The sequence below is a fragment of the Homo sapiens genome, chromosome 7 (assembly GCF_000001405.40).
Source record: "Homo sapiens chromosome 7, GRCh38.p14 Primary Assembly".
NCBI lineage: Eukaryota > Metazoa > Chordata > Mammalia > Primates > Hominidae > Homo > Homo sapiens.
In genome coordinates, this window is record NC_000007.14 from 118493582 (window position 1) to 118515957 (window position 22376).

The following is a 22376-nucleotide window of genomic DNA, read 5'->3' on the forward strand; positions in this document are numbered from 1 at the left end:
ATGCATGGGCAGGGAGAACACTGATGATTCTGATGGGGTGTGCAGTGAAGGTTGAGTGTGGCTGAGAAATAATTTCTTCTTTCTTTCTTAGTCTCACACTGTAGCTCAGGCTGGAGTGCAGTGGAGCGATCTCAACTTAGTGCCAGCTCCGCCTCCCGGGTTCAAGAGAGTCTTCTGCCTCAGCCTCAGTAGTAGCTGGGATTACAGGTGGGTGCCACCACGTCTGGCTAATTTTTGTATTTTCAGTAGAAATGGGGGTTTCCCCATATTGGCCAGGCTGGTCTCAAACTCCTGATCTCAAGTAATCCACTTGCCTTGGCCTCCCAAAATGCTGGGATTACCGGCGTGAGCCACTGCGCCCCGCCGAGAAACAATGTCTTTAATAAAAAATTATGTTTCTAAAACAAATGGTTTGTTATAATAAAACAAAAAAAAAGTTTCTAAAACAAATGGTTTAAATTAATCTTAGAGAAAAGGAATATGGTCGACATTTACTTTTTACTCTTTTCCTTTTTAAATTTTCCTTTAAATTCTGTACCATGTGCTTTTACTACTTATGTAAAAATGAATAATATGCAAATATTTTCCAAAAAGGTTACTGTAAATTGTTGGGATGCCTAGATACCTACTTGCATTCAAATAAAAATCATAGGCAGATTAACAGCCACTTTTGCTTCTCACATATCATTATCAGTTTGCTATGAATTTGGCATACTTATTCAATTTTACAGATGGGCAGTTAAGGCTTAGAGATATTTAGATAACTTATTCTGGTTCAAGACTTGAATCCATGTCCTCTAACAATGGGCAATTGAACTAAATGATCACTAAGACTTTCTCCAATACATTTCAACAATATTTAAATATTCCATAAATATGTATTAGTTATTTCATCTAAAGTTCTTTCATTTAAAGTTATGGGGCTTCATTTCCTAATCTGAAAAATAATGTCAATGTACCCAATACTTCGTGCAAAGTACAAAAAAAAAACATGGATGAGACCCCTTACACAAATCATTTAATTAATTCAGTTTATGAATATTAGCACATTATTAATTGTGCTGCTGTTCTTCCTATTTGGTGATATGAAGTCAAGTTTAATGGCTTTCTTGATCAAAAAATAGCTACAGACATAAGACAATGAATTCTTTCTGGAGCAGGTACTTAGGCTTTCAGATCCAAGATTGTGCAGGTGCTCCATATGTTATTTTTTAAAATATTAATATAATTTACAGGATTTGAAGCCAGCATTAATTAAAACAGCAGTGAGAATGAGTATGGGTCCTCAAATGTTCAATAAAAAGTAATTGTTTTGACCATGAAGTTGTATGACACCAAAAGCAGTTCCATAGATATTTGAGATTCTGACGTGAGTAAGGGTATCCTTGATTAGAATCTACCTACTCACTTTGGTGTCAGTGTTAAGAATTGATTATAATTTAGAAAAATTAAAATCTAGCATATATGTGGCTGCAAAAGTCATGAGACTAAAACAAAATTGTGAAATAACTATTCAAAAACTAGATATGGCATCTCTGACAGTGTTTAAAAATACTAGATTGAGGACTGATTCATCTTAGCAGGGGGTGTGATGGGTTGCATTAGACATCAATAACTTTGTCATTTTTATTTACTTGAAATGCTTGCTTTTACTTTTATTCTCAAGTTGCTATAGCTTCTACTACTTTAAAAAAGACTTTTTTTTTAAATTGACATGTTTAAAATATTAAAGGCTGAATGCTATGGTGCATTTTAACCAAGTTATATGGAACTTAACTTATTGTTTCTTCAAATAAAACCTTCCATTTACCTATATTAGATTGTAATTATTTTTTAAATGATTCTGAGTTTCTACATTTACTTATGCACATTGCTTTAACAACCAAAAAGTTAAAATGTCTTAATTTACAATAAAGTAAAACTAAAATAAACTAATCAGTTATTTAATTCTTCATGGTATGTACCTACCTAATATTTACATATTAATTAGGTCATAGGTGGGTGGCATTAACCATAAAGATTACATTTTATTTAAAAGAAGTTACTATAATATTGAATTGGAATAAAAAGAGATAGATAGGTAGATATTACATCCATATAAATGATGTGGATAAAGTCTGTTTGGATTTATAGTAAAAAATATCATTACTTTAAATTTCTCTTTGGTCAGCATGTGCAGGTTAAAATGGAGTCTATTCAATTTTTCAATAAAATAAAACAGTAACCAGCAGAAACCTGAGTTTAAATATTTCAATTTGTCACTCATAGAAAGATGCTTATGTGAGTGATATAGAAAACATATATAATCAGCATCTTCCTGTAAAAATGCTGTGATTATACTTTAATGCTTAATATAAATATGTTGGCACATGCATCATAAAGTACATTATGTCATTTTAAAAACAGATTGTAACTATTTTAAAAATAATAAATCTTCTTGCCCCTCTCTCTTTTCCAGATAGAGTACCAAAGATATAATTTGAAGAGAGGAAACACAGTAACACTGCATTTTTATATAAAATATGATACCTTTTGATTGGAAAAATAACCAGCCAAAAATAAAAAGAAAACAATTCATGTATCTCAAAAATAAAAGTAAGTTTATTGGAGTTAAAGAAAAGTTCCTGTGGGTAAAATTTTCCATTGAGTAATGTAAAAAAAAATCTGGCCTTATATCCCTACATCCTGTTATATCTTTATCCTGACATTTCACTATTTAAATTGCCTTTGCATTCAGAAATATTGAGCAAACATTGCTGACACTGCAGAGTTTATCTGTGTATGGCATTCATTATAGCAGCCCAATTTGTTCCCTTGCTTCAATAATGAAGTTTGCTGTGGTCAGTGGAATCAGACTGATTGGTTTACTGGAGAGACAACTATGTTTGGCAAGTTGTACATGTAGCTGGACAATGTTACTGAGAAATTGGTCAGCACCAGATAGGAATGTACCAGTTTAAATTACTAAGACACACATATGATTTCTTAAGAAAAAATTAAGATTATAGTGAAGGATTTTGGAGATGATTTGTTCTCAGCCCAAAGAAGAAGAGAAGAAAATAAGAAGGCAAAGGAAAAGGAGCAGGAGGGGGAAAAAAAACAGTAACAAAATAACTATGGAATTTACCATTGACTGCCTGAATACAAATTATATACTGATAACAATTAAATCTGTATTCATCACTCTGCAAAACATGCTCAGCTATTCCGGTAAGCAATGATAACTTTCCTCTTCTGAATTCTTCTAGGGTAGTGGTTCTCAAAGTGTAGTCCTTAGATTAGCACATTAACATCATCTGGGAAATTATTAAAAATGGAAAGTGTTGGGCTCTGCCTTAGACTTACTTCCAGATACTCTGGGGTGGGCGTCATAATCTGTGTTCTGTCAAGCATGCTCAAGTTTAAAGATCACTGCTGTAGGACAATGTACCTACAGATAAATGAAGCACATAATTATATGCTTGTTACTGTTTTAAATTTAAATTTTTTTAATACCTGAATTTTTATACATTAGTCTTATACCAGTATCCAGATAAAAACATCCTGAAGGTAGGGATATTATATATATATATTTATATATATTTTGTTGTTGTTGTTGTTGTTGTTAAAAGACTTATTAAGATTTTTTTTTGCAGGAAACTTTGTTTCCTAAACAAATCAAATCCAAATATTTAATAATTGACTAAAAATAGAAGCACATTTACCCTAATGTACTAAATAAGTCATCTCTATTTTTTTACTAACAATAATGAGACAACCATATCCTCCTCATAATCTACACTTTTTCTTCAAAATAACTAATGTGGCTGTCCTGGATATTAACAATTTCCACAAGACAGCTACAATGTTCTAATAGTTTTCAGCCCCAAAGATGCTTTTTTCCCCTTGGCCTTTTTCAGGCAGGTAAAAAGTAATTTATCCTTTCAGTGCCTGAGCCCCTTTCACAATCTGACCAGATCTATCAAGGTAACTGACCTATGACCAGCCTTTTTGTCTGTTTCTCTTTATGATTTTGATAAATAGAATTTTTGCCATGTCTGCAAGTTCTATAAAGCTTCAGTTTCACAGTGGAAAGACATTCTAACATTCTATTTATATTCCTGGTCACAATTTTTCAATGTTCTTAACTCTGTTCATAAATTTGACTTGCCCACCAGATCTTCTTAAGCCTACAGTTTCTTTAGAATAGTAAAGATAAAAAAGGTATTAAAGTATGAATTTTATTTTCTAATTTATGTTCAAACACAAATTTTCAATGTCTCAATTTAAATATTTTATTGATATGATTCAGAAATCCCTTTCACTTGCAGGATATTGAGAAAGGTAACTTTATAACATCCCATTTTCCCTTTTTTACAGATTCCATTTAAACTGAACAGAACAAAGAGCTCTCTTCAAAAAATGCACTTGTGATTATATTCACTAACGTACAAGTTCCTCTTACTTCGCCCACACTCACTAAGGCTAAGGCAGTCCAATCCAATAAAGTTATTACACTTCCTTTCCTGCTTCAGCCTAGCATCTTTTGGTTTTGTCTTAATGTCATCAGGGCCATGTAGAATGAAGGTTTATGTAATAACTAACTATGCTGTCAAGTATTTTTGCCCCTGACAGTTTTGTCTGTTTGTTTGTTTTGTTTTTGTTTTTTTGAGATGAAGTTTCACTTTTGTTGCCCAGGCTGGAGTGCAATGGTACAATCTCAGCTCACTGTGACCTCCACCTCTCAGGTTCAAGAGATTCTCCTGCCTCAGCCTCCCAAGGAGCTGGGATTACAGGCATCCACCATCAAGCCCAACTAATTTTTTGTATTTTTAGTAGAAACTAAAAATTTCACCACGTTGGCTAGGCTGGTCTCAAACTACTGACGTCAGCTGATCCACAAGCCTCGGCCTCCCAAAGTGCTGGGATTACAGGCTTGAGCCACCGCGCCTGCCCCCTGAAAGTTTTTAATTTTAATTTAGAGTTTCCTTTTGGTTGTTTCTCCATCCATAATTTTCACTCTTGCTCTGATGTGATGTCACCTTTTACTTTGTTTTTGAAAAATTTCAGGTAGTTTTTATCTTCATTCCTTGACCTCAAGTATCAAGACTTTTAAAATATGATCTGTCAATTATCTCTTTAGGAATCACCATGTTCTTTAATGCTGTCCTGTCCTTAGTTTAACATGCATTGCTTGAGATACCATTCAGGTACTTCCTGTTTCAACCTTGACGATAATGATACAAAAAGATAACAACTATTTTCACTGCGAACAACAATATACTTTGTTTTTATATCATTGCATGTTTTAGGTTCCCAAGAGGTTGCTTTGTCAGAATGTATCCCTTCATTGGAAATTAAAATTTACATTTTTTTAAATGTTTTAAGAGACAGGGTCTTGCTCTGCCATCCAGGCTGAAGTGCAGTGGCACAATCATGGCTCATTGCAGCCTTGAACTCCTTGGCTCCAGTAATCCTTGGTAGCCTTGACCTCTCAAAGTGCCAGAATTCCAGGTGTGAGTCACCACGCCCAGCCTACCTTTAATAAATAAACTTTAATTTCTTATTTTACAATAATGTTAGGTTTTATATTTTCAGCCCATTGGAAACTACCCAGTGCTTTGAAAAATACTTATCATTTACTCAGAATATGTCTCTTAATAGAATATTAAAAAATACATTTCCTAAAAATCTCACATTTATTTTTTAGAAAATGTTCACCCTGTATCAAAACGGTTACAAAATACAAAGTAAGGGGTTACCAGTGCTTAGTGGGACATTGTAACATCACATCTGTGTGTTGTACTTGTGTATGTGCCTGTGTGTTACTTTTTCTAAGCATGCATAGATTTTTTATAGGACTGTTAATATTTAGCATTTCTCACACTTATGAAATTCTGTACAAGGATTATATCAGGATTGATCTTTTACTAGATTAGAGGAACTGTGTGTGTTTATTAAAAGTACTTTCTTCTCTCAGCAGTGGTGGGCCTTATACTATCAGCTTGTGTAACTCTGAATTCATGAAAATATTTCAAAGCATATTGCAGGACAAAGGTGATAATTCCAGGAATGGCTTTTGATTTAAAGTTTCAGAAAAACATCCCTTTTCTAACAGAAATATAGAGTGCTACTGCTAAGCAAAACAAAGCAGTATTCTTTATTGAGTTGCATCGACTTTAAATACTTCACAATTTACTTTAAAGAAACATTTATAAGATAATTGTAGATTCACATGCAACCTAAGAAATAATATAGATTCCATATGCCCTTAAATTAGTTCTACAGTGGTATCATCAGTATTACATAATTATAATATAAAATAACAACCAGAAAATTAATATTGATACATATCTTCAACCTTATTTAGGTTTTTCAAGTTTTACATGCACTCAAGTGCGTGTGTGTGTATGTACATATTTAGTTATATACAAATTTATCATGTGTGGGTTTGTGACAACCAATACAGTCAAGATACAAATGATCCCATCACCAGAATCCCTCTTACTACCCTTTTATAACCACACCCACCTCCCTCCTGTCCACACCTCCATAAACACTGAAAATGACTAATTTGTCCTCTTTTCTAGAATTTTGTCATTTCAAAATTATTATATAATTGGAATCCTACATTATGTAATGTTTGGGACTGGCTTTTAATTTTACTCAGCATAACTCCCTTGAGATCCACCCATGTTGTATGTATTAATAGTGTTCCTTTTTTATTACTGAGTTGTATTCCATGGCATGGATGTACCACATTTTGTTTAACAAGTCACCTTTTGAAGGGCATTGGGTTGTTTCCAGTTTGGAGTTTATTACAAATAAAGCTGTGACAAACATTCGTGCACAGGATTTTGTGTAAAAAGTTTTCATTTTGCTGAAATAAATGGAGCTTTTTTTTCATTCCAGTAGTACAATTTCTGGGATATGTGGTAAGAGCATGTTTAGTAGCATAAGAAGCTTTTAGAGTAGCTGTGCTATTTTATGTTCCCACCTGCAATGTATGAGTGATCCTCTGCATCCTCGCCAGGATTTGGTGTTTCTATTTTCTATTTTAGCTATTCTCATAAGTGTGTATATCTGATTTGCATTCTGTATGGCTAACGATGTTGAATACCTTTTTATGTACTTATTTCCCATCTTATATCCTCTGTGATGAAGCATATGATGCATCTTTTGCCCATTTTCTAATTGGATTGTTTGTTGTTGCATTTATTGTTGACTTTTGAGAGTTAAGCCTCCCACCAACTTATTCTACTTCTTTGATTGCTGGATGGAGGTAAAAGCTCAGCTCCCTTTTGGGTCTGAGTGACTCTTGGGGGTAGGCACAGAATACCATCCTGTTCCATCTCAAACTGCCTCATTACATCTATTTGTTTCCAGTTGGTGGAAAAGGCTCACCTTCTCATTGGGCCCCATTTTCAGGGGTGGGTTGTAGGAACTAGAGTACTGACTAGCCTTGCTTTGCATTACTCCATTCAATGGGTTTGCTGCTGGGTGTGTGGAAGATCAGCTTCCCACTGGGTCCTGCTTACACCAGGATGTGAAATGCTGACTAGCCCAAGGTAATTGTCACTACTTGATTCATTATCCTTGATGCTGGGTGAGGGTGGAGACTAATCTTCCCACTGGATCCTGCTGACACTGTCCTGATTGAGTAGTAATACCACTGTATGATTCCAGCAGTTGTGGGGAGATTAGCTCCCTGCTCAGCCTCTCTGATACAACTGGGCAGCTAGTTTTTGCTTCTGCAACAAGACATAGGTTTATGATGAGCTTCCTGTTCATCTCTGCTGAAACTAGGGAAAGGTGAGGGTGAGAAGGTGAAGGAAGACAGGAACTGGGAGTATCAATTTATTTTGGTGATGGCTAGAGTTGGGGGAGTTGAATACCTTTATATTTATTTATTTTCCATCTTGGGAATGGGCAAGAAGATTTTCCCTTGTTAGGTCACCGTTTTTCCTTAGCTAGAGGAAGCAGACTTTCTTAGGTGCTTCTTTTTTTAAATTATTTTTAAATCTGTGTCTGTTAGTGGTTCTAGGTTGGAGGCGTTAGCAGCATTTTGGCTGGGGTATATGGGAGGCAATATGGAAACCATCAAACTTGTTCTCACGTCATTCTGCAAGTCCTGGTGTCCTGAGGTAGGCTGACTTCTTCTTTCCACCATCCAGAGTCTTTCTGTCTTTGCTTGTTGTGTTTTGTCCAGGATATTTTAATTGTAAGAAGGAGTAGCTGGGAGGAATGAGCCTATGCCATGTTGGCTGGAACTAAAAGTTCGTAGTAATTTACTTTTCACACATGGCAATTTTCAAGAAAATAATAAGTGGAAAGATTCCCATCTTATGCACAGGTGATATTTCATAAGGAAGTTAAAATTTTTCCTGTGATATTCTTGACAAAATATTCCTCTTGAAAAAATGTTGACTTTATTTCAACTTCTTTGTATCTTAATTGAGCGTGTATGTCTCTTGCTCAAGATAATGTAATACGGTTCAATGTTCCATCCTGACAATTCTAATGTATATTGATGCTATAGATCTGGTTTAAGTTGGCTGTTTTTACCATTTATTAAGGAAGTTTCCACTCGTGGACACTAGTTTAGCTCCTCTTCCATTATACTTATAAATATGCATTGCATGAATATTTAAATGAGCAATGATATTATAAGCACTTTTTATTCAAAACTTACACAAAATAGTTTATCTTGTATGGAGCATCACTAAAGGTGTAAAAGTAAAGTACTGAGTGGAAATGTGACTGACATGGGTCAGGATGCTCATGGCTGGCAGAGTCCAATGAAAAAGAGCAAGATCTGGTAGAAAGAAAGTGTTTTTATTAACCAAAACTAGAAATGGGGAAGTGGCCAATTTCCTACCCAAAGCAACCGCTTCGATTTCTGGTGGGAAGGCAAGAGTTTAAGAAGAGAAAATTTGATAAGGAAGGCACTAATAAATGTGCTGAGTAATGTCTGTGTGTCTTTTTCCCGTGGCTATCTTGGGTCCCAGCCCACCTGGACTGCAGGCTGGCATTGTCTCAGGTATGGCTGGGTTGTGACTTTGAAGTAGTCTCCAGAATTTTGCAGCTGGGTCCCCAGGATTGATCTGTCTGTCTCAAGATTAGCCCCTGGAATTTCTAAGAAGGCATGTAAATAGATACTAGAATACAATTAAATAGATGTGAAGGGAGTATACATGGTGAGAAAGGCAGGGATGTGCAGTCTCTTTCAAGGATAAGGGAAAAGACTTCTGCAGTTTCAAGGTTTTACTTGAAAATCAATAGAAAGGGAAAAAAAGGTTTAATAATGTATTTTGAAGTTAAGCTGCCTGATAACAGAACTGTAAGCTCTGAGGAATGTTTTAATTAATCCATTTAAATATTTTAGAGTATAAACTATCTGGAGTCCAATGTAGGTTATAAAGAATTTTAAATGTTCTTTTTCTTTCCTCAGAAGTTCAAGCATTTCATTTTAAATAAATATATTGGCACCATGTGCTCTCTGTAATACTAAATGATGTACTAGGCACTGATGGATTCCAGATGGAGTAAGGACATGAAATTAAGTAAGTCACAGTTTTTAATCTCAGGGAATGAAGATTTCATTGTTAAATACAGCTATGTAAACAAAAATAAAATATAATCACAGTAGAATTTCATAGTAACTAAAACAAAAAACAACAACAACAAAAAACCCACTACTTAAAAATCTGATGGGAGTAAAATTAAAGGTGTCTCTGTGCTTAGCGAATTTATAAAGCTTGAGAGAGAAAATGGAGTTCACAAGGTAGAAAATAGGGAATGAGCATTCTTACCTGGGTGATGTAAGAAAAATGGGCTAAAGCATATGTGGCTGGACCAAACTTTTCCAGGGAAGTTGATGAAATTGGGCTGGAAATGTGGTTTGAACTAGGTCATTATGGCCTTATACACAGTTCTGAGTAAAGGAGAAATAAAGTCCTGTAAACCATCATTAAACAGTAAATGTTCACTGCCAAGTGATATCAGCACTAGAGATACCTGAAATTCATAGCCCTAATGAATAGCAGAATATATTTTCAAAATGATAGTTATTTCAAGACTTTTGAATCTTATAGAATATGTTATTCCTCAGACATTTTGGAGAAGGAGAGATACATACTTTGAATAAAAATCTCAGTGGCTAAGACAGTATAAAACCACTAATCTAATTAAGTAACAGTTCACAGAAGAAGACATCAAGCTTAAACTCATACCAATAATTAGGAGGAAGCCCTGTTCTCCTGTTTCCTCATGATAACTCATTAATAAAGAGATAATCAAAGAAATGTCTCAGTGCAATTTTGAAATGGTACAGACTAGTTGAGAGGGGTATTTTAGGGAAGTGAGAATAGAGAGAAGAATCAAGGGGTAATAGTAAATAAAACCATCCTTTAAAAACAAATTAAAAAATCAAAACCTGCTATAATGAATGTAGTTCCTAAAACTTTTTTTGGCATTATGAAACATGATTATATGCAGAAATATAAAATAAGACATTGCCTTAGATGAAGGTGAAAATCCTCCAAAACAATAAAATGTGGTTTTGTTTTTTAATAAATAAAAAATGAAAATATGGCTCTGTCTGGAAAGAGGTTTGTTTAAATTTTAGAATAACTTTAAATTATGGAAAAAAATTTGAAGATAGTATAGGAAGTCCCCTAGCTCTTTCACATAGATTCTTTTAAGATTGACATCTCACATATCCATGGTACCTTTATCAAAATGAAAAATTAACTTTACCACAATGCTTTATACTACAAACTATTTTGATTTCCTGTTTTTCCACTAATGAGCTTTGTCCTGGATGTAATCTAGGAGACTATGTGGCTTCTGGTTATGGTGTCTCCTTAGTCTGCTCTGATCTGTAACAGTTTCTTGGTTGGTCCCTTGTTTTTTATAACCTTGCACTTTTTAAAAGTATTGGCCATGCATTTTGTAGGATGTCCCTCAATTTTTGGTTTGCTGATGTTTTCTGATTTTTAGACTGGGGCAATGAGTTTGGATGAAGAACAGAACAGAGGTAAAGGGCCCTGTCATCACATCACATGAGAAAGTCCATGTTATCAACATGACATCACTGGTGGTGCTAGCCATGATCACTGGGTAAGGTGGTGTCCGCCAGGTTTCACCAGAATAAAGTTACCACTTTTCCCTTTCCTTACTTGGCTTGCTAGAAGAGAGTTACTAAGTCCAGTCTAAACCCAAAGGGGAGGGGGTTACTCTTCACTTGCTCGAGAGAGGAGTATCAAAGGGTATGTGGGCACAAGTTGACACCACTAGAGTAATTAACAAATATATTGGAGAAAATAATTTATTTAGATCTACCTAACCATTATGTTTCTTTTTACAGTTTCATGGTTCAGTGGATCTTTACTGAAGCAATTATTGCTGTGGTGTTCTAAGGATGAATTTTTATTTCACTCATTCCCTTTTACATTTATTTGAAATCCTTTCATAAGGAAGATTTGTTCCTTCTTTCACATTTACTTATTCTATCATTTATACCACCATAGACTCAATGTATTTATTTTATTCTTTGGGCTATAAACCAATACTATCATTATTTATTTTTTTCACATTGTTTTATCTTTGGTCAATGGAACCTACTTTAGGGTGGCTCCTGGTTCCTTTTGCAGCATTATGTATATATATACACACAGAATATACTACATGGATATCATATATATACTATATACTACGTGTGTGTGTGTGTGTGTGTGTGTGTGTGTGTGTGTGTGTGTATGTGTGTCCTTACTTTCTGACAATACAAGTTACTCCAGGCTTATCTTGGTATTTTTCCTGCACTGGCTCTAAAATTTATCCAGAGAGTTCTGGTTTCATTTATTAGAGAATGATACTTAGTAAGTATGGTTATAGTCCTAGTTGTGCTCATTGCTACCTGGGTGTTACTGCTTTTAGAACCTTTCAGCAGACAAAGCTAGGAAATATACATATGTATACTGACCCATGTATACACTATAACAATTTGTATTTACCTGTATATATTTTTGTCTCTCTCTATATATATAGAAGAATATATATGTAGAGGAAATACATCACACAGATATTTGGAGAAGACTATTTCAGGTAATGGAAGAACAGGTCCTGTGCTCTCAGATGAGAGCCTGTTTCATGTTTTCAAAGAACAGCAAGAAGATTGAGGTACATGGAGTTCAGTTAAAAAATAAATAAATAAACAGGAAGAGTGATAGGAGATAAATATTGAGAGATATAAAAAGAGAAATCTCAGATCAGATCATTTATGTCCTAATAGCTTTTTAAAGTAATTTGGCTTTTACTGTGAGAGACACTCAAATACATTGGAGGCATTTCAACAGATGGGTGACATGATGTGAGTTATTTCTTTTAAATGAACCTCACCATCTGCCATGTTGAGAAGAGAGAGTAGGGGTACAGGAGGCTGTTACTAAGATTACTGCCTAGTAATCCACATAAGAAATGGTGGATCCTTGACTGGAAAGGCCAAGAATAACCAATGACTGAGGCAAAACTAGATAGAATGGATAGAGAACTAAAAAGTTTTGGAGTTGTCAATACAGAATAAGAACATGATGTGGAAGGATTTGAAGGGGAGAAATAAGAACAAAATAACATAAGGAATATAAACCCAGAAGTCAGCATGAAAACTCAATGCTTGCACATAGATAAGTTGTGAAAAGGAAGAACTGAGAGGCAAAAACTAGGGCAAATTTTGCTATATAGAAGACTAAAATTAGGTAGGAAAAACTTCAGCATGACTACCATTTCAGAAAACCTGCAAACTTTAATTAAAATTGATGGACATTCTTGCCCACTAACATGGCTGCAGTCAGACCCATCTGTCAGGGTGGTGTGACTGCCATCAGGAAGAATTATGCCAGATTCACGGGCCATGGGTGCCAATCCAAAATAGTTTTGAAGATTGGTTTGATGAGGTAGAAATATACCAGAAATAGTACAGCTGAACCTGAAACATTCCACAGTGAGTTTTGTCAAACTTTACAATTCTAAGAAAAATTTTAAACCATTTAGATTCTGAACTGTTCAAAATCTTCCAGGACCTGTAGGCATGGCTAAAAAATCTTAGCTGTTTCCACTAAAAAAAAAATTTCATTTCAAGAAATACTAATTTTTCACATCATTATATAATGTGGAATACACAAATATTTCTATTTTATATTTCTTTTCTAATTTTTCTCTGTATAGTTTCTACATTATCCAAGCCTTCTGGCTTTCACCAGGTGGAAATAAGGAAGTCAAGAATCTCTGTCTCTTTCCTACCACGAAGTGTATTTTTTCCTATTAATTCAGAATCAATTAATATTTTGTTTTATAGAATTCTCTAATGGCAATTAAAAGCTAGTTGTAGGCATTATACAGTGTTTTTGGCCAATTTGATGGTTTAAGATAAGTGGGCTGGTTCTGGTTATATAATATATTATAATGTTATATAAACCATATTTCTATCCCTATTACTTTTCTAGCATATTTGGAAAAAATGGAATGCCTCCTGTTCCTTCCTGAATTACCTACTTGGTAGCTGCGTCCCCTGGCCTTATCTTCTGTTATTACACTTTTCTTGAGCCATTTTTCAAACCACTGCTGTTACCGCCAATGTTTTCCTGTTATGATGTTGCTGAAAATACTCAGAACTCAAAGCCAGAATTAATTCCCTTTTCTTAAATTCATGTTTTAATTCCCCTATGCATTGTGAACAGGAAGATATATATACACAGTAGTTTTTTACTGAAGATCTGAGATTAAATGGATGGCTAAAAGTGTAGGAGATAACACTTAAAACTGAATGTTAAGAGCTCACAGGGAGGGGAGGGAGAGCATTAGGACAAATACCTAATGCATGCGGTGCTTAAAACCTAGATGATGGGTTGATAGGTGCAGCAAACCACCATGGTACATGTATACTTATGTAACAAACCTGCACATTCTGCATGCACATGTATCCCGGAAACTTAAAGTATTTTTTTTTTTTTTAAAAAAAGGGAGAAATGGGGGAAGAAAAATAGAGGAGAGAGAGAGAAGTTATCCATCTCTCCCCCAATGTGGTTATCATTTTGCACAGATTCCTGTGGGTATAACCCAGTTTCTAGTCTTGTCTTGCTTCTCTTTCTCCAAGTTGGCCTGCCTGTTTTCATCCAGCACTACTTGGGTGACCACTTAGGTCTTCCATCAGGGAAATCTACGAGATATGAGAGGCCCTCAGCAGAGAACTTACTATATTTGACCTTTCCAATTAGAAATTAATATCATGACAATGTCCAAGTTGGGCTTTTACTAGTCATGTCCAGCAGAACAGGCCAAGTTGTAATCTGACATCTCAGGTCTGTTATCCTTAATGATTTTTCCCATTGGAAATAAAAAGATGACTTCTTCATTGCTTCTGTAATACTATTTACTTTGGTGAGTTATTTTTGGAACATACACACACCCACACAACACAAAGGACTCAAGGAGAAATAAAAATTTCTTAGAGGCAATACAGTCTAAATTCATATTGAAGAGGCAAAGTTGCATGTTTTTTTTCTACATGCAAATACACTCCCCCCAAAATTTTATTTTACATTATTTTTTAGAGAAGTTTCCAGATAAATTTATTGCAAAGATATGCTGAATTATAGTACCATTGACTACTAGTGGCAACCTTTATTCACATAAAGATACAGCCCAAATTTGAAATTTAAGGTTTGTTTAACTTGGGCCAGGTCAAATTTGGGGTTAGAGTGTTTGGTCTCTCAATTATTTGTAAAAAGGTGAAATGGCAGAAATAGTTATAACCTCAAGTAATATGAAATTTGCAGTGTTTGTGTAGGGTGGGATGGAGATGCCTCTTGCATTATCAACTTTGTTTCAGAGTACTTAATATAGAAATATCTGGCTGACTATTCAAGGTAGTTCTACAAGGTGCATTTAGAGATACTTATCAGCTGTTACTTATACTCTTAGACAATGAACTTCATGTTCTGTCACATTTTTATCATCTAACTCGGTAAATTTCATCAGTGGAATATGAAATATATGCCCTTTTTTCACGAATACATTTCATGAGATAATTTATCAAAAAACAAGACATCACAGATTAATAGAAAAATTTTATCTAACAACATTTGACTATTTTACTGAATATTTTCCCACTCTTCTATTTATTTTAAGAAAAAAAGAAATTTTGAAGTCTTTTAGTGCAGTATTTCAGAAACAGTTAATATGTGTCTTTATGATGGCATTGCAATTATTTGGATAATACAGATGATTTTGTATTAATCTCATTAAAAACACATCAATTTGGGATTTTTCAAAGAATTGTGCTTAAGTATAGTACTATCCATATGTATGGTCATAGAAAATATATGTATTATTGTGTTGTGAATATATATTCACAGCATATGTATGCACATATCCAAATACGTGTATCTACACACACAAACACATAGGTGTATGGAAGCTTATCACACCCTATGTTTTTATGTTTTTCTCTCTGACTGCTTTCCCTTTCAATAATATTTCTTGACAGTATAGACACATTAGTTCATATTGATCTCATACTTTTAATTGCCACATAATATTTAATTGTATGAATATATGTTTGGTTAGCCTTTCCCTTATCAAAAACATTAGGTACTTGCAAATTTCTCACTGTTCTATTTTCTTACATCTCATTTTGTGCTGTTTCCCTAGAAATGAAATTGATGAATTATATGAGCATATAATATTTAAAAAATATATTCCAGATTACCCTGAATGCTTGTTCTAAATTTAAAGCTCTATCAGTTGTTTCTCAGTATCTTCACTGATCTTTAGTATTATCAGACTTTTAGAGTTTTTTCAATCTATACGAAAATGATACCTGATGCATTGATTTTATTCCACCAAAGTAGTTATCTTTGGCTTCTTTTTGTTTATTAGACATTTATGTTTAATATTTGTGAATTTGTTGGTCTTTGCTATATTTTCTGTTGGATCTTTTTGTCTTTTTTATTAATATGTATGAATTATGGATAGTTTGATATTTGTTTTATGATACAAATGCATTCTCTGATTTTGCTGGCTGTCTTAAATTTGGGTTATTTTATACAAGTGTTGACTATGGATGTATTCAAATGTATAAAATCATTCTTGACTTTGTTTTTTAGATCTTGTTTAAGAAAACCTCTACTATTCTGATGGTGTAATTTTTTAATGAAAAGTCCCTCTTTATCTCACTGATTGTAAATAATTTTGCAAGCTAATAAGTGGTTGTTACAGCATTCTTACACAATCTAATGTGTTGTAAAAGACCATTATTAACACTTTCAAGAACATATACTCTGGTGGATAAGTGAAGACCTGTAAGACCAATTTAGAGGATACTGAAATGTGCAAATGAGAGATGATGATGGTTTTAATAAGCTGGTGATGGTATAAACATTGAAAATGATCTAGTCTTTGAAATATTTTAAAAGCAGATATGAAAATATTTACTGATAGATTTAATGTGAACTGTGGGAGAAAGATTAAGTGTTAAGAATATAACCCAAAAACTTATTTTTTATGTTTACCTTTCCTATAATCCTGAAAGTCAGTTTCAGAAAAGGAAAATTGTCAGAGGAGCCAGGTGTGAGAAGGATAGAGTGTGGTAAAGGGAATATAGTCTAGACAAACTTAATTTTGAAAGTGTTCATTAGGCCTTTGAATGAAGATGTTGAATATACTGCTGGAAAACTGAGTATGTGGGCAAATTAGGGATGTGTGGTTCAAACACCTTAGAGATTCTATGGACGCAGATCTCAAGATAAATAACATAAGAATGTCACAATTGTAGCATTCACTTATACTGGTGGTTCTATAAATTGGTATTTTTTAAAATGTGTAATACTCAAGTGACAATGCTAATGATTTCGATGAAGCAATTCAAAAATTTATTATAACAAATTATTTAAAACAATTTAAAAAATAAGGTGCAGGCACACACCTTTCGCTTGTATTATTACCTATCTTACTAAGTCATGCACCAATAACATTAAGAGAAAGTAAATAAAGCTGGCCAAATGAAGAGTGTTATACAAGTTAATTGCCAGTGAGTGTTATACAAGTTATTGCCAATGAGTAATCAGCATATAGATAACCACCTGCTCAAATATAATCTATTGGCCAATCTCTCTTTATAGCACCAGCATCATCCCCTTTTTATTTTGATCATCTTATCAGCATACATGTGTGCTGTACTATCTCTCATACATACATATATGTATATATATGTATATATATTTACACACATGTATGTGAATATATACGTATATATATATATATATACACATACGTGTGTATATATATATACATATATATATTTGGTTTTCTTTTTTTGAGATGGAGTCTCACTGTATCTCTCAGGCTGGAGTGCACTGGCACAATCTCGGCTCACTGTAGCCTCCGCCTCCTGGGTTCAAGTGATCATCTTGCCTCAGCCTCCCGAGTAGCTGGGATTACAGACACGCACCACCCTGCCTGGCTAATTTTTCTATATTTAGTACACACTGGGTTTTACCATGTTGGCCAGGATGGTGTTGATCTCCTGACCTAGTAATCCACCCACTTCAGCCTCCCAATGTGCTGAGATTACAGGCATGAGCCACCATGCCTGGCACTATCTTTCATATTTTAAAAATCTTTTTACCCCATATCATCCTTCAGCTACCATCCTATTTCTATGCTCTCCTTTATGGCAAACCTCTTTGAAAGAGCTCTTTGTTCCCGTTGTCTTTTCCCTTTCTCCCCGAGACAGCCCTTGGATGTAATCATGAGTCATGTGAAGTGACACTGCAGCAATATTGACAGTCCTTTAAATTGTGCATATAGATATTTACTTTTTCCATAAGATTCTTTATTCTTATCATCTTGATTAATGCTTTTATCTGCAGTGAATTTGTTAGCAAGTTAATGTACTCTTGTCAATAAAATGGAAGATCACATGAACTTTTCCCTCCCCATTAATTGTTTCCCATCATTACAGACGTTGGGTAAAATTAGAAGTATTTATACTATTTAAATAATGCCTAAACTATTATTTTTAAGTGTTACAGATAAACTGCTTATAGTCCACAACTGTTATGATTATCTTAATGAATGAATCATGGGCTCTGAAACATGGGAATAACTTATAATTGAGAAATAATATTGATCATACCACTGCACTCCAGCCTGGGTGACAGAGCAAGATTCCATCTCAAAAAAAATTATAATATTAATGTTCAAGGAGCTCAAATTCTATTGGCAAAATTCAGGATAGAAATCCTCACTAGAGATAAAAATTTTTGAGTAATCATCATATGAATAGTCCATTGTTCAAAGATTGTTTGTTGACTTGTCTCTCCTTGTATATTGGTTGGAAATAAAATCAGTCCCTTGCATACATCAGTCTCTCTCTGAGACTTTTCTAGTCCGTTGGGAAAAAATGTGAATTCCTCTATTAATAACACATTGTTTAAAGGCAAACAGTTTTGATATTTCCTGATAAATGGAGGAACAAATAAAGAAACAGTAGGTTATAAAATTACTATTGTTATATTATCATCTATATATTAATAGTTTTTCTTTGTTTATATATGTGGACCTTTGAAATCATGTAACTCTTGTTTTCATATAGGTGTGCTGAAGCCCTATCCCCAAGATGACTATATTTGGAGACAGGATTTTTGGAGGTAATTAAGGTCCTAATAGTAGGGTCCTGGTTCTATAGAATTGGTAGCCTTATAAGAAGAAGAGAAAGAGCAATATTTCTCTCTCCATGTGCATGAACTGAGGAAAGGCCATGTGAGCCACACAGTGAGGAGAATGGCACTCTGCAAGCCAGAAAATGAGCCCTCACCAGAATCCAGGCATCCTGGAACCCTGATCTTTAACTTCTAGCCATTGGAACCAACAGAAAATAAATTTCTGTTGTTTAAACCACATACTCGGCTGGGAGCAGTGGCTCACACTTGTAATCCCAGCACTTTGGGAGGATGAGGTGGGCAGATCACTTGAGGACAGGAGTTCGAGACCAGCCTGGTCAACAGGCGAATCCCATCTCTACTAAAAACACAAAAATTAGCTGAGTGTGGAGGTGCATACCTGTAGTCCTAGCTACTCAGGGGGCTGAGGCTGGAGAATCACTTGAGCCCGGGAGGCTGCAGTTGCAGTGAGCCAAGATCATGACACGATACTCCAGCCTGGGTGACAGAGCGAGACTCTGTCTAGAAAACAAAACCAAACCAAACACCTACTCTATGGTATTTTCTATGTCAGCATAAGACAAGGTGTGAAAATGGGATATAACTTTATTTTTTTCCAAATTGATGAACCGTCATATCAGTATTAATTATTGATTTATTTGGCTCTTTGTTTTTCTTTTACAAAATTGCCTCACATACTAAACAATATTTATTATACTGTTTTAACCTTAAAATGAGCTTGCTATTTAGGCAAGTTCTTTTTGGGGTTTTGATTGAATTTATTTAGAATGATGTGAGAATAATTGAAATTTTTATAATGTATAGATTCTTCCCATGTGTGGATCTTCTATCTCTCTCTATTAGTTTACTAAACATCTTTCAAATATTTTGTTATATTTGTTCCACGAAATAGATAACTTAGGGAGCTATTATGAATAGAATCTGTCTTTTTTTTTTTTTTTTAGAATCTCACTCTGTCACTTGGGCGAGTCTTGCTCTGTCTTCCAGGCTGGAGTGTAGTGGTGCAATCTCGGCTCACTGCAAGCTACACCTCCCAGGTTCAAGCAATTCTCCTGCCTCAGCCTCCCATGTAGCTGGGACTACAGGTGCATGCCACTATGCCCTGCTAATTTTTGTATTTTTAGTAGAGACGGGGTTTCACCATGTTAGCTAGGCTGGTCTCAAACTCCTGGCCTTAATTTATCTGCCTGCCTTGGCTGGCTGGGATTACAGGCCTGAGCCACAGTGCCCAGCCTTATAGTGATTTTAATTTAGTATATACTATGTATCCATATTTATCCTTGTTTCCTCTCCATCAATATGTTTCTATATAGAAAGAACCTGTTTTAACTTTGAATGTTCAGTATCAAGTATTAATATAATTATTTTAACTTTGATTTTATTGCATTTATCCTGGTATATTTTTATGTATTTTTAATATTTAATACTTTGTTCTTGTAAATAGCAAATACATGGATTGTCTTTATTTTTTCATTAGGAATATTTCATCTTTTGGTTTAGAAATTCAAAGCATTCAAGTTTATTAAGGTAAATAATACATTTTTAACGTTACCTTCATTGTATTTTTTCTCAAGTGATGTGTTAAATTTAAATGATAAATTTGTCTTTCTAGAAATATATTTTGTTCTGGGTTATTATGGAATTTCCATTATAGTATCGTTCTTCAAATAAATTTATAACTATTACTCTTACTCAAATTTTAGTTATAATTATCCACCATAAACATTTCAAACTAATAACTCACCATTTATTTCTATGAAGTCTCCTTTCTTCTGTCTTTAATGTCTGGTCTCATTTTTCATTGAAATGTAGCATGTACCCAAATATTTTCATCTGCTAGGACATAAAGATTAAATACCCTCTGACTCCTTGAATGAAAATAATATATAGGGCAACTCACACGTTACCATTTTGGACCAAGGTAATGACTAGCCACATACAAAAAGTAAACAATACGAAATAAAACAAGCAGGAAATTACTAATCAATAGGCATAAAGTTTCTGTCAAGCAAGATAAATAAGCTCTAGATATCTGCTGTACAACATGGTATCTGTAGTCAACAATAATGTAATGTATACTTAAAAATTTAAGAGGGTAGATCAGTATTTTTACTACAATTAAATTTAAAATATGAAATGAAATAAAACAATAAAAATTAACAGGAATATGCAAAGATAAAACAGCAATATCGATTTCCTTAAAAATTATGATTTTTGTATTGCATTGTAATCTTGCTTGACTAATTTTTTTTGCCAGTTTTGATGGATCCATTGCATTCTCTTAAAATGTAGTAGAAGCTTATATTTTTCCTAACTTTTAAAATACATAAGGTTAGAAAAGTTTTCTTTAAAAATTTTTAGAAACAAAGGAATGAAACTCTAAATTCAACTCTACTAACCAATTCATACCATCTTATTACACCCAAATTCTTTCTTTTCTATTTCACCTAGTTAAGCCTGAGAATTATTGACAGAGACTTCTTAGTAGTTCAAGTAACTTAACTAACCAAATCATTTAGAACACAAATTAATTCTTTAAGTGTACTGGAAATAACTTGGCTGTTTTCTTAGCATGATACACTGTTGTAACAGGCCATATGGATCAGACTTCTTAACATTAGCTTGACATATAAACAGAGAAGATACTGTCTATATAAAGTAGACACAGTTTTTGATTTTGATATACAAAATGTCATCATATTTTAAGTGTGTCCTTGTATTTACCATGACATGTTCATTTAATACTGTAAGATGCAACAGTATTTTGTATACTGTATCAGATTTTAAAAATGCTAGGAATTAAAGTATAGCAATGCTTTCTGTTTTTACAATTTTTATTTTATCAATTTTGAAAGATAACTTTTAGACTATGCATAATTTTAATGTATATTATTATTGTTAATACATACAATGGAAGATAATAGCAATTGGTTATCCTTTGAATCCTGTTTAAATTTCGAGCTGGTAACATCTGTTATTCCCCCAAAATACTTTTCATGCCATTATGAGGGTTAGTTTTTAATACAAATTTTCTAAAGTAATCTATAAAAAAATGACAAAACCATTGTTGCTGGTTTTTAAACTGGCTTTGCAAGTCAGTGGAAGTATTCTACTTTGTACTGTTGCTTTGGGAATGTTAAATGGTCTGATGATTCCATCTCCCTATCAATATTGATAAAAATTTGGTTCCTAAAAGTTATTCTTCTCCAGAATTTCCTCCAGAGCACGGATATTTATTCTGAAAAAAAAATGACAGTAAAGCTTTTATTATTTGTATATGAACAAGCAATGACAACTCATTCAAGATTGCCACTAGGCCAACTTATATTTTAAGTTGCAATCACTTTTGAGTCAGATTCAGATTTTAGATATGTGTGATGGTTGTGTGTCAATTTGGCTAGGATGTGGTGCCCAGTTGTTTGGTCAAACGCTAGTCTAGATTTTGCTGTAACGGTATTTTGTAGATATGACTAACATTTATAATCAGTTGACTTTAAGTTAAAAAGATTACCTCCATAATGGGAGTAGGCCTCCTCTAATTATTTGAAGAGTTTCAAAGCAAAAACTGAGGTTTCCCAGAGAAGACAGAATGCTGCTGCAAAACTGCGATGTAGAAATACTGCCCACATTTCCAGTCTGCTCACCAGCCCTATAGGT

The 22376-nt window shown here is 34.0% G+C and overlaps 2 long non-coding RNA genes across 2 annotated transcripts in view; both read left to right on the forward strand.

Moving 5' to 3' along the window:
- Positions 1-163: 163 nt before the first annotated feature.
- On the forward strand, positions 164-8417 carry LOC107986747 (uncharacterized). Its single transcript, XR_001745029.2, has 3 exons — positions 164-207; positions 2459-2595; positions 8015-8417. It is a non-coding gene; the product is annotated as an uncharacterized LOC107986747 (long non-coding RNA).
- A 981-nt stretch (positions 8418-9398) lies between these two features.
- LOC105375473 (uncharacterized) overlaps positions 9399-22376 on the forward strand; it is a 66227-nt gene continuing 53249 nt past the window's right edge. The window contains exons 1-5 of the long non-coding RNA XR_927909.2: positions 9399-9542; positions 10981-11100; positions 12028-12084; positions 18632-18686; positions 20197-20246. This is a non-coding gene — a long non-coding RNA (uncharacterized LOC105375473). The remainder of the gene's footprint in view (positions 9543-10980; positions 11101-12027; positions 12085-18631; positions 18687-20196; positions 20247-22376) is intronic.